The sequence below is a fragment of the Homo sapiens genome, chromosome 14, assembly GCF_000001405.40.
Source record: "Homo sapiens chromosome 14, GRCh38.p14 Primary Assembly".
NCBI lineage: Eukaryota > Metazoa > Chordata > Mammalia > Primates > Hominidae > Homo > Homo sapiens.
In genome coordinates, this window is record NC_000014.9 from 45,072,046 (window position 1) to 45,084,627 (window position 12,582).

The following is a 12,582-nucleotide window of genomic DNA, read 5'->3' on the forward strand; positions in this document are numbered from 1 at the left end:
TTCAGCCAGTCACCACTTGGAAAATTGAGTAACAAGGATGAGGTGCAGTGGAAGGAAAGTGACTTTATTTTCCAAAGTTAGCAGTTGGCAGGTGGTTCAGGCTCCTGCCTTAACAAAACTGCTTCAAAATTCTCAGGCAAAATGCTAGGGTTTAAGAAGGAGCAGGTTTGCATAGAGGACATGCAGTGGGCCAGGCAGTACAGTTCTACATGATTTGTTCCTATGACTTATCTTGAGTTATTGCCCCATATGGTGAATGGTCCAGTGCTGTCTCAGGCCGGACTGGGTTGTAAATTAGCACCACAGCCTTGAAGTAATCTCCTGGTTAGAGAGAATTCCATAGATATCTGAATTGTCTCAAGACGGAGTCTCTGGAACTTTTTTTTTTTTTTAATGTTTGAGACAGAGTCTCGCTCTGTTGCCTAGGCTGGAGTGCAGTGGCGCAATATCGGCTAATTGCAACCTCCGCCTCCTGGGTTCAAGTGATTCCTGCCTCAGCCTCCTGAGTAGCTGGGACTACAGGTGCCTGCTACCACGCCTGGCTAGTTTTTTTATTTTTAGTAGAGATGGGGCTTCACCATGTTGGCCAGGCTGGTCTTGAACTTCTGACCTCAAGTGATCCACCCACCTCGGCCTCTCAAAGTGCTAGAATTTCAGGCGTGAGCCACTGCACCCAGCCCAGTCTCTGGAACTTCTAAGCAAACATAATTAGATAGGTTAGCAATGCAAAGGAGTATCTAGTAGAAAGAAGGAAAGCAAAATTTATTATTTCATTAGTAAAACGTGAATACAAAGGGCCATAAAAGGAGAAGAAAAAAAGCCCTTAAAAATAGGGTACTTGGTTACATTAGTAGAAATAATACGGGAAAAGTAAAAAGACATTAAAATCAAATTTTGGTTCTTACAGAAAACTGCTATTTCAAAGTCATGTTTGATAAAAGGTCCATGGGTTAAAACTGTGTACATTTTTGTTTCACTACATTTGGAAAACATCGAGATGAATTTGGGTTCATTTTCTCTCCTTACCACTTTTGCATGAACTAATTGTTCTATATGGGATTCTAATACCATATTTGAAGATCCCAATCTTTGAGAGAAAGGTTTCTTACATTGCTTCTTTTAAGAAGCCTAACTTTTTAGGACAAATTACATAAGGAAGAAGCTTAGTATATTTTAGTTGCTTTTTATTTAGCAGAGCTTGGGCTTATTTATTAAGAAAAAACCCTGTTTTTTATATTTTTATGTTTCAGATATTGTTACGGAACTTTATCAAAGGAAGCCGCATGCCACAGAGCAGAAAGTGTTGGTTGTTTTATGGCATCTCTTAGGAAATATGACAAATAGTGGCTCTCTGCCTGGAGCTGGAGGAAATATACGAACAGCCACAGCTAAATTATCAAAAGCACTCTTTGCACAGATGGGTCAGAATCTGTTAAATCAGGCTGCATCTCAACCACCACATATCAAAAAGAGTTTGGAGGAATTACTCGATATGACAATTTTAAATGAATTATGAATCTTCGATAAAATACTGTATGATGAACAAAAGTGTTTACATGATGACAAATGGAACTTTCTAAAAGTTATGTTATCAGTGCCTGCACTTCACATCCAGCAAATTAAGTCAATGGCTATTTTTATTTGCAGCCTATGAGTACACATCTGTCCTATATCAACCTTACCACTTATATTCATCACATAAAAACCTAAAATATTCATGAATAATTCATGAAATCTGAGTCACATGGGATGAATTCAATTTTAATATTTTTGAGAAAAGTCCTGCTCATTTGCACTATTCTATAGAAACTACAATTTGTTGCCCTATATGTAAAATTAGAATTGTAATTAAAAATACACATTTTATTATGTAATCATGTTCTGGTATGTCTCATTTCTCAGCCTTATTTTATAACGTGGAAGTCATTGAACTATGTTATCAGAAACTAAGTTTGTATATTATTTGTGAAAAACATGTATTTCTGAATCAGTCCGCTAATATGATTGTGCAGTATTAGCTTGCTTTTGCTGCTGTGTTAATGTCATATATTTGCTTACCTTTTGGGTTCAATTATCTACATAATTGTGAAATTTAACAAGTTATAATAAAGCATGACAACCAAAGTTTTAGAAAACATTAAACATTTTAAATGCACGTTTAAAAAACGTGTTGAATGTAACCCCCCTATTTTTGTGTGCAAACACTAAATTTTATTGCTTTATGTTTTGACCTTTATAAAGGTGTTATTCTGCTGCCCAGTTTTGTAATTCTCAAAAATAGTGCCAGGTCTTCTATAGCTTTTTTCAGAATTCATGGGCTTACAAGTACTGTATGCATCTTTAAAAAGAAAAGGAATGTTATAAAATAAAAGGATTTATTTCTTTAGATGTGTGAGAGGTGTCCTGTTTTTCCAACTTCCATACATGTTAAAATGGAAAAAAAAATATATATATATATACAGTAGTATCGACCTATCACTTTCACTTGATCTACTTATTATGATACTGACCTATCACTATTGACCTACAAATAGACGTGGGTTATCATTCTAACTTTGTAGGAAATTAGCTGTCTGACCTCGGACAAGTCACTTACCAGGTCTGGGCCTCAGTTTCCTCATGTCTAAAATGTAAGAGCTAGACTAGAAGATTTTAAAGGTCCTATCCTGTTCTAAAATTCTATAATTCTATGTTCATTCTTTTGTACTTCTGAGTCACTGACCAGTTTTCTAATGTATTTGGCTGTTTTTAAAATTGTGATTTAAAAAAATTTATCCTGGCCGGGCGTGGTGGCTCAAGCCTGTAATCCCAGCACTTTGGGAGGCTGAGGTGGGCAGATCACGAGGTCAGGAGTTTGAGACCAGCCTGGCCAATATGGTGAAACCCTGTCTCTACTAAAAACACAAAAATAGCCAGGTGTGGTGGCGGGCACCTGTAATCCCAGCTACTCGGGAGGCTGAGGCAGGAGAATTGCTTGAACCTGGGAGGCGAGGTCGTATTGAGCCAGAGATCGTACCATTGCACTCCAACCTGGGCGACAGAGTGAGACTCTGTCTCAAAAAAAAAAAAAGCCAGGCGTGGTGGCTCGCGCCTGTAATCCCAGCACTTTGGGAGGCCAAGGTGGGTGGATCATCTGAGTTCGGGAGTTCAAGACCAGCCTGACCAACATGGTGAAACCCCATCTCTACTAAAAATAGAAAAATTAGCCGGGCATGGTGGCGCATGCCTGTAATCCCGGCTACTCGGAGGCTGAGGCAGGAGAATCGCTTGAAACCGGGAGGCGGCGGTTGTGGTGAGCTGAGACTGCACCATTGTACTCCAGCCTGGGGTACAAGAGCAAAACTCCACCTCCAAAAAAAAAAAAGAAAAATTTATCCTTAGCTTCTGAGAAAAAAAAAAAAAGGGTAAGGGGGTTGCTTCTATTTCAAGCTAAGCTAAAATAAGAGTAAAGAATTGGCTACTTTTTCTATTTATATAAACTTTTATATAATTATATACTTTTAAAATACCTTATATTTTCTTCTAAGTGTATTTTATTACAGTCCTCTAGTTTGGTGTACTTTATGTATAGGGCCATAGAGTAAATATTTTCGGATTTGTAAGCCCGTATTTTATTTATGTATCTATTTTGAGATGGAGTCTTGCTCTTGACACCCAGGCTGGACTGCAATGGCGCAATCTCGGCTCACTTTAACCTCCCCCTCCCAGGTTCAGGCAATTCTCCTGCCTCAGCCTCCTGAGTAGCTGGGATTAAAGGCGCCCGTCACCATGCCCAGCTAATTTTTGTACTTTTAGTAGAGACGGGGTTTCGCCATGTTGTCCAGGCTGGTCTCAAACTCCTGACCTCAGGTGATCTGCCCGCCTCGGCCTCCCAAAGTGCTGGGATTACAGGCGTGAGCCACTGTGCCTGGCCTATTTTTTACACTTAAAAAATGTAAAAAAATATTCTTAGCTCAGGTCATAGAAAAATAGGCCTCTGTTAGACTCATTTGATCTCAGTTGTAAACTCTGAAATCATTACATTTTGCTTCAACCCTACTTGATATGCATCATTGATACAATAGTTACAGATTTTAAGTTTTATTAATTATGACTTCTGCCTTTGTATCACTGCACTTGTGCTAGCTAAATTTGCATCAATAGATTGTTAGATATATTGAAGGTAGATTTTACATTTTAAAGGATAAAGAAGACCATTACTTCATGTATAAGCCTAATTCCTTAGTTTGAATTTTGCACTGAAAAGTACAATATTCTGATCAGTCTAGGGAGAAAAAAATACAGTAAATATAATCAATAATGTGGCAACTTTATTTTACATAATATGTGAGCTACCTTTTATTATAAAGAAAATAGCCATTAATGTAACAAAAGAGTCTCAAGCCTAAAGAGTTTCTGTATTTTAGTAACTGCTTGATAATTGAGCACTCAGAAGTCTAGCACTCTTATCGAGAACCATTATCAACCCAGAGGTCAACAAAGAAACAGACTGATCACTGATTGAAATAACTAAAGAAAAGCTGAAGTCCCGAATAAACAAACGCATTTACTTGGAATAAAGGAATGTCGTTTACTAGCAATGGTAATGATAAAAGCCTAACGTCACCCACCAATGCAACAACAAAAAATGTTAAATGATGTATTTACCCAATGGAATGCATATCATATAGTCATTAAAAACGATGCCAAATACATGTTAAAGGAAAAATGTGACTACAAAATAAGTACAGTGTCTCCATTAATATATGTGCACTTAGAAAACAGAAGTAGTAGTATATATATACCAACATCTTAATGGTGGTAATCTGTGGGCAGTGAAGTTATTTTAATTTTTTTCAATGTACTCTTCTGTAATTTCTATTTTTTCAGAAATGAACAAGACATATTGCTTATAGTAAAATTTAAATTACAATAAGTGAAGAGAATCTGAAGAGAATCTGAAAAGTAATTTGGAGAGGAAAAAATATATAGCAAAGAAGAGAGCAGTGAACATCACAAAAGTGCTAAGGGAGGTACACAGTGATGTGACTCAAAGGGAGATGACCGAGGGAGGCAAGTATTATTCAGATAAAAAGCATAAGACTTTGATTCAGAAAGCATGAATTTGGAAACCCAGTTTTATAATTACCTGCTAAACCTTACATACATCCTGGGATTATTGTGAAGTCCAAAATTTAAAAAGGATTATGTATAAGAAAGCATTTGTAGGGCCGGGCACGGTGGCTCATGCCTGTAATCCCAACGCTTTGGGAGGCCAAGGCAGGCAGATCACCTGAGTTCAGGAGTTCGAAACCAGCCTGGGCAACATGGTGAAACTGCATCTCTACTAAAAATACAAAAATTAGCCAGGCATGGTGGCGGACACCTGTAATCCCAGCTACTTGGGAGACTGAGGCAGGAGAATTGCTTGAACCCAGGAGGTGGAGGTTGCAGTGAGCCAAGACCGCGCCATTGCACTGCAGCCTGGGTGACAAGCGAGACTCCGTCTCAAAAAAAAAAAAAGCATTTGTAAACCTCAAATGCTATATAAAGGTAACATTCCCAACAGAAGGAAGACCCAACTGGCATGAGCAAAAAGGAATTATTTTATTGTGTATATTTATGAGGTACAACTTAATGTTTTTATACATTGTGGATCATAAAGTTAATTAACATATCCATCACCTTACAGACCTAACTTTTTTTTTGTGGTGATCACATTAAAATCCACTCTCATAGCAATTTTCAAATACACATTATTATAAACTATAGTCATCTTGTTATACAGTAGGTTCTGAAAACCTTTATTTTATTTTTCCTCTTTATTTTATTTTTAAATTATTTTTTGAGACAGAGTCTCACTCTGTCACCCAGGCTGGAGTGCAGTGGTGCAATCTCGGCTCACTGCAACCTCTGCCTCTGGGTTCAAGCGATTCTCTTGCCTCAGCCTCCCAAGTAGCTGGGACTACAGGCAAGTGCCACCACACCTGGCTAACTTTTTGTATTTTTAGTAGAGATGGGGTTTCACCACGTTGGCCAGGCTGGTCTCGAACTCCTGACCTCAGGTGATCTGCCCAACTCAGCCTCCCGAATTGCTGAGATTAGAGGCGTGAGCTACCATGCCTGGGCTTCTTTTTTTTATTTTTAAAAATAGTCTTAGAGATGGGATCTTGCTATGTTGCTCAGGTTGGACTTGAACCCTTGGGCTCAAGGGATCCTCCCACCTCAGCCTACCAAAACTGCTGAGATTACAGGCATGATCCACCTTGCCCGGCCATAATTCTTCCTTTCTAAATGAAACTTTGGACCCTTTACCCATCCTTTTTTCCACTTCCCCACCCCAAGCCTGCCAGCTCCTGCAAACCACCATCCTATTTTCTACTTCTTGGAGTTCAACTTTCTTAGATTCCACATGTAAGTGAGATCATGTATTATTTTTCTTTCTGTGCCTGGCTTATTTCACTTAACATAATGTCCTCCAGGTTTATTCATGTTGTTGCAAATGATGGGATTTCCTTTTTTAAGACTAGTATTTCACAGTGTCTATATACGGCATTTTCTTTATTCATTCATCCACTGATGAACACTTGATCAAGACTTTGAGGCACTCATCTCTATGATTCCCTCAAGGAATTGTGTTGCCTTTTGTTTCATATTTTCATAAGAGATATTTGATAAGAAAGGTTCCCTAAGTTTTATTATAGCTTCTAAGGCTGTTGTATCAGTTGGAATGCTTTTGACTGAATAGCAAACCAAACTAACAGTAGCTTAAACCAATTGGTATGTTATTTGTCTCATACTACAAGAAGTGTAAAAGCACTGGCTAAGCATTATGCCAATGGCTTGATGATATCAGAGCTGATTATAAGACGGCAGCTTCCTCTCCAAATATCATAATTGTGCTTCAGACAGAAAAAAAAAGTAAAATGGATAACAAGCACAGGTATTTCTCTAGTGAGGCTTCGCTTTTTTATTTAGGAAAGAAGGCCCTTCCTATGTACTTCTACCTACATCTCATTGGCCACCCTTAGGTTCAAAGGAGGCTAGGAAATTGAGTATTTCGTTTCCCAGTCTCAATAGTACAGGAAGATAATAGAGAAGATAGTGGGCATGGATATTTCTAAGCTGACCTACAACATCTGCCATATTCCATAAGCCCCACTCTGATGAAACACAGTGGCATTCTATGCCCCAGGAATTGGTATTAATTCAGGTCCAATGTTTAATAAATTCCAAGAAGCCAGCATGTTTTCTGTTTCCTGGTGTGAAGTTACCCTAATAAGTAGCCATAAGTCTCTGAGGGAATAAGAGGAATGTGCAGAGTGGTATTACTATGGCGCTCTTCTTTAAGGTTATCCGGAAACAGGAGTAACAATGATAACTCTCAGGAAGACTGAATTGAGGAGATATTAATACCATTTGAACTAAATATGAAAGACCAAATAGTAAAGAGGAAACAAGCTTCATGTTGTGTTTGGATTTAAATCTCCTGGAGCTACAGTTTTAACTTTACTTGCTTTACCAGTAAGGAGAAACACTAAATACAGGAGTCTGAATGTTTCCAACAGAAGAGTCACCACAATTTATTTAGTGATGGATTATTTATAATGTAAACAAAGTTCATTCCCTAGAGCAATATATTCTGTAAATTAAATGATCCACAAAGTATTTTACGCACTTTTTCATGGCATGTTAACGTTTTGAAGAGAATAAACAGGAATCATACTGAACAGCTCAGAAATTGTGATTAACACTGGGTATCACAAGATACATTTTGCTCTTATATCAATCAGGACCCAGAAGGAAATAGACAGCAAATCAAAATCGGCATAATTTGGGAAGTGGTTAATAAGGGAGTATTTATAAAGGCATGGCTTAGGGAAACCTGGAACCTAGAATGAAGTTATATTGAGAGGGTTACCTTCATCAGAGCTGAGATCACCCACATGGAGGGAGCTGGAGGAATAAATACCCTGACCTCACTCCTCAATTCCACTCTGCCAGGACTTTTTCTTGGCCATACTCAACCAGAAACCAGGAAGCAAGAGAACCTATTGATACGGTCTATAAGGGTCAATCTCCAAATAATGGAGCAGGGTGGATGATCTGTTGATCTGGAGGGGCAAATGGAAGAACTGCATTAATAAATAATATCATTTCCCATTTGTCTGACTTCTTTGTTCTGTTTCTGAGATCACATGACTTTAAATATTGTTTTTTAGAACCCACTGAGAGGTGACAGCGTGCTGGCAGTCCTCACAGCCCTCGCTCGCTCTCGGCGCCTCCTCTGCCTGGGCTCCCACTTTGGCGGCACTTGAGGAGCCCTTCAGCCCACCGCTGCACTGTGGGAGCCCCTTTCTGGACTGGCCAAGGCCGGAGCCGGCTCTCTCAGCTTGCAGGGAGGTGCAGAGGGAGAGGAGCCAGCGGGAAGCGGGGCTGCGCCCGGCGCTTGCGGGCCAGCTGGAGTTCCGGGTGGGCGTGGGCTTGGCGGGCCCCGCACTCGGAGCAGCCGACCGGCCCTGCCGGCCCCGGGCAATGAGGGGCTTAGCACCTGGGCCAGCGGCTGCGGAGGGTGTACTGGGTTCCCCAGCAGTGCCAGCCCACCGGCGCTGCGCTCGATTTCTCGCCGGGCCTTAGCTGCCTTCCCTCGGGGCAGGGCTCAGGACCTGCAGCCCGCCATGCCTGAGCCTCCCACCCCCTTCCTGGGCTCCTGTGCGGCCGAGCCTCCCAGATGAGCGACGCCCCCTGCTCCACGGCGCCCAGTCCCATCGACCACCCGTCGGCTGAGGAGTGCGGGCGCAGGGCGCGGGACTGGCGGGCAGCTCCACCTGCAGCCCCAGAGCGGGATCCACTGGGTGAAGCCAGCTGGGCTCCTGAGTCTGGTGGGAACTTGGAGAACCTTTATGTCTAGCTCAGGGATTGTAAATACACCAATCAGCACTCTGTGTCTAGCTCAGGGTTTGTGAATGCACCAATCGACACTCTGTATCTAGCTACTCTGGTGGGGCCTTGGAGAACCTTTATGTCTAGCTCAGGGATTGTAAATACACCAATCGGCACTCTGTATCTAGCTCAAGGTTTGTAAACACACCAATCAGCACCCTGTGTCTAACTCAGGGTTTGTGAATGCACCAGTCGACACTCTGTATCTAGCTACTCTGGTGGGGACTTGGAGAAGAACCTTTGTGTCCACACTCTGTATCTCGCTAATCTAGTGGGGAGGTGGAGAACCTTTGTGTCTAGCTCAGGGATTGTAAACACACCAATAAGTGCCCTGTCAAAACAGACCACTTGGCTCTACCAATCAGCAGGATGTGGGTGTGGCCAGATAAGAGAATAAAAAGCAGGTCGCCTGGGCCAGTAGTGGCAACCTGATTGGGTCCCCTTCCACACTGTGGAAGCTTTGTTCTTTTGCTCTTTGCAATAAATCTTGCTACTGCTCACTCTTTGGGTCCACACTGCTTTTATGAGCTGTAATACTCACTGCAAAGGTGTGCAGCCTCACTCCTGAAGCCAGCGAGACCACGGGCCCACCGGGAGGAATGAACAAGTCCAGACACGCCACCTTAAGAGCTGCAACACTCACCGCGAGGGTCCGCGGCTTCATTCTTGAAGTCAGTGAGACCAAGAACCCACCAATTCTGGACACACCACTACCCTCTAAACTACATTATTTGGTATAATATCTTTTTTCTTCCCAAAGTTTATAATTGTGATACACAATTTTAAAAAAGTCAACTAAGGGTAAATCAATTTTTTTTTTTTTTGTCTTTTGTTTTTGTTTTGAGATGGAGTCTCACTCTGTCTCCCAGGCTGGAGTGCAGTGGCACCATCTTGGCTCACTCCAACCTCTGCCTCCCGGGTTCAATTAATTCTCCTCCCTCAGCCTCCTGAGTAGCTGGGATTACAGGCGTGCGCCACCACACCCAGCTAATTTTTGTATTTTTAGTAGAGATGGGGTTTCACCATGTTGGTCATGCTGGTCTCGAACTACTGACCTCATGATCTCCCCGCCTCGACCTCCCAAAGTGCGCTGGGATTACAGGCATGAGCCACCACGCCCTGCCGGCTAAATCAGTTTTTAAGATAATGTATGTTTCTGCCAGCGGGGATCACATTTTAGGCAAAGAGAAGAGCCCACTTAAAGGTTTCCACGCATAAAAGGGCTGTGGGAACAGTAGGTTCTGTGGAGTTACGGGGAGGCAGAAACAGTGAGAAGGCTGGCATGATTATGAAAACACCGTATTTTCCATTCTAAAAGTTTAGGATTTCTTTAAAAAAAAAAAAAAAGTGGAGGAGGAAACCAGTGGAGGTTTTTAAGCGGGGGAGTGAGAGCAATAGCACCGGCTTGAAAGGTAAAATGTAAAAACTAGATAAAGGAAAACAACGAATCCACAGTGAATGAAGTTGAAGATGCAAGTAGATTTTTATAAAATGGCTATTTGAGTGAATGACATCTCAGAGATAATCTTATTTACTGATAAAGAAATTGAGGCCACCTTAGAAAGACCAAAGAACCAGAAAAGGAGTGAAGGTCATGCCAAACAGTCCCTGCGTAACAGTGCCAGCAGCAAACTCTGGTCTGTCTTCCCAACGCACCACTCCCTTGACTATTCTTCCCACAGTAAACATTTAAAAGCTGCTGTTTAAACCTGTGAAACAAACAAACAAAAAACATGGCCACACTGTCAGAGAATCCAAAAAAGTTAGCTTGGAAAGTAGAAGAGGCAAATGGAAAGGGAAAGCTACTACTAGGTGCAGTGTGATGCAAGTAAAAGGTAGGAAAAAAGACTGAATTTGGTATTTCGAACGAAAGGTGCTGGTGAGAGGATTTATGATTAACCTGCGTTGTGACAAGAAACGTCGTCTTGTAAATAAGTATTTCCAGAGGAGACAGATTTCAGATGAGGAACTTGGAGCCCAGTAGTAATACTAATGCACCTGGAACAACAGATTACATGGTAAGTGACAGGTGAATGCGGGGGCACCAATGTAACAGAATCTTAAAGGGAGAGAGGCCAGATTTGAAAGAAAATTTTTTTTTATTAAAGTGGAGATGGTGGTACAACTGAAGAGGACTGCTAAGATTGTTAACGCACAGTCCCCCTCAATTTGTCCAGAGGATAACATATCCCTTCAGATACAAAGATTTTTTTTTTTGCTTGGCCAACTTTAGTCAGGTTTCTGAATCTTCTGCTAGGCTCTTCTGTACACTTTCTTTGTAAAATCCAGTTTAAGCAAAGAACTTTGCTAAGTCAGATTAGCAATAAACCCCCATCCTTGATAGCTGATCATCCTCAATATCTGATCAGGTTCTTCAGTCTCCACCATCCCCCAGGTGATGCCTCATTATCTTGGCCTGTCTTCAGCAAAAATCCTATTAGGTGGGTTTAGCCAAAATCCCCCTTACCCTGATGTTTCCTCTTAGTAATTATACATTCACTTACCACCGCTCCTTGGCTATAAATCTCCACTTGCCCATGCTGTATGAGGAGTTGAGCCCAATATCTCTTTCCCTACTGCAAGTCTCCATTGCAGTCAGTGGTCCCTATACCTGTTGCGATGGTCCTGAATAAAGCCCTCTTTTTGTGCTTTAACAAGTGTCACTAAATACTTTTTTCTTTAACAATAGCCCGTTCTCCAAACCCCTAACTCCAGAACTGTTTAGTTTTCAGGAAACCTGAGTGGGCCCAGGGTCTATACCATCGTGAGATTTGTGGGTTTAAGGCTGAATTTCTGCCCGTTTTTAGGTAAATGTTTTAGTGTGAAAGCTTGAACAATTGTAGGGAAAACCTTAGATTTGCCCCCAAAAATGACATTTTGCCGTTTTTGGTGGGGAGGGGTCAGGGCGCTGTGTTTAAGATCAGGCGTGTGAAAGCCCCTAAACGCCCTCCTTTCCTTTGGGAAGTCCCTATGGAGGGAAAGGCAGGTAGGCGCAGCGGTCCCCGCCCTCGCTCGCGGCGGGGCGGGGCGGGGCTGCGGGGGCGGGGCTGGGGCCGCACGGGCAGCGAGGATCCCTGGGAGGGCCAGGCCTGCGCGCTGCGAACCCACGTGACTTTTTCGCCTCCAGGGACACTGACGCATGCGCATCGTGCCCTGGACCAGGCGGCCGTGGCGCGGGTGGCGGCTGCTGTGCTGGCTGTGGGGACGGAGGCGGTGAAGTGCCATCTTCGGCTAGGTCGTCACAGGCTCCGGCTCATGGCATCAAGTGGCATCCATCATAAGGTCTGCTGGGGCGGGCTCCTTGAAATTAGCTGGGGCAGAGGGTGGTACTTGGTACTGAAAGGGGCCTGCCGGGTTTCAGGCCGCGCTCTGGCCGCGGCCTCCCTCTCCCGCCCTGTTTGAGGCCTGGCTCGGATTCAGCGCTCAGCTGTCCATTCCTTTCTCCTTCCCACCTGTTGGGTGGAGCGGTGCAAGGTATTTTTTTCTTAGACCAAACGTTTCACTTGAGGGGTGCGTTAGGTAGGGTGGAGAAGTGTGGGCCTCCTTCGCCTGGATTTAGGAAGATATTTGGGGGTAATTCTAAAGCCCTTGCTTCTCCCGGAGCTGGAACACGGCTGGGGTGGCTGGAAGTGGAAGGAGCACATTTGCAGCCGCCAGAGG

At 42.8% G+C, this 12,582-nt stretch overlaps 2 protein-coding genes and 1 long non-coding RNA gene across 8 annotated transcripts in view, besides 1 other annotated feature; 2 read left to right on the forward strand and 1 right to left on the reverse strand.

Annotated features, from left to right (window-relative positions):
- TOGARAM1 (TOG array regulator of axonemal microtubules 1) overlaps positions 1–2,386 on the forward strand; it is a 112,242-nt gene extending 109,856 nt beyond the window's left edge. For all 6 annotated transcript variants that reach the window (NR_131765.2, NM_001308120.2, XM_011536571.2 and 3 more), the window contains one exon: positions 1,251–2,386. Coding sequence is in view for 4 of the 6 variants with exons in the window: in NM_001308120.2 (NP_001295049.1) it covers positions 1,251–1,516 (266 nt within the window). In the remaining 2 variants the exon portion in view is untranslated. The remainder of the gene's footprint in view (positions 1–1,250) is intronic.
- Positions 2,387–11,002: 8,616 nt separating this feature from the next.
- On the reverse strand, positions 11,003–11,981 carry PRPF39-DT (PRPF39 divergent transcript). Its single transcript, NR_184211.1, has 2 exons — positions 11,427–11,981; positions 11,003–11,342 (listed from the first exon to the last, which is right to left on the reverse strand). It is a non-coding gene; the product is annotated as a PRPF39 divergent transcript (long non-coding RNA).
- Positions 11,776–12,065: a silencer, noted in NCBI's record as "silent region_5694". NCBI's record gives its function as "represses an Ori minimal core promoter by ATAC-STARR-seq in GM12878 lymphoblastoid cells {active_cell/tissue: GM12878}" and the evidence as "EXISTENCE:reporter gene assay evidence [ECO:0000049][PMID:35858748]".
- The window catches only part of PRPF39 (pre-mRNA processing factor 39), a 32,167-nt gene continuing 31,655 nt past the window's right edge, over positions 12,071–12,582 (forward strand). Inside the window, exon 1 of the mRNA NM_017922.4 lies at positions 12,071–12,204. The gene's annotated coding sequence lies outside the window, so the exon portion shown is untranslated. The remainder of the gene's footprint in view (positions 12,205–12,582) is intronic.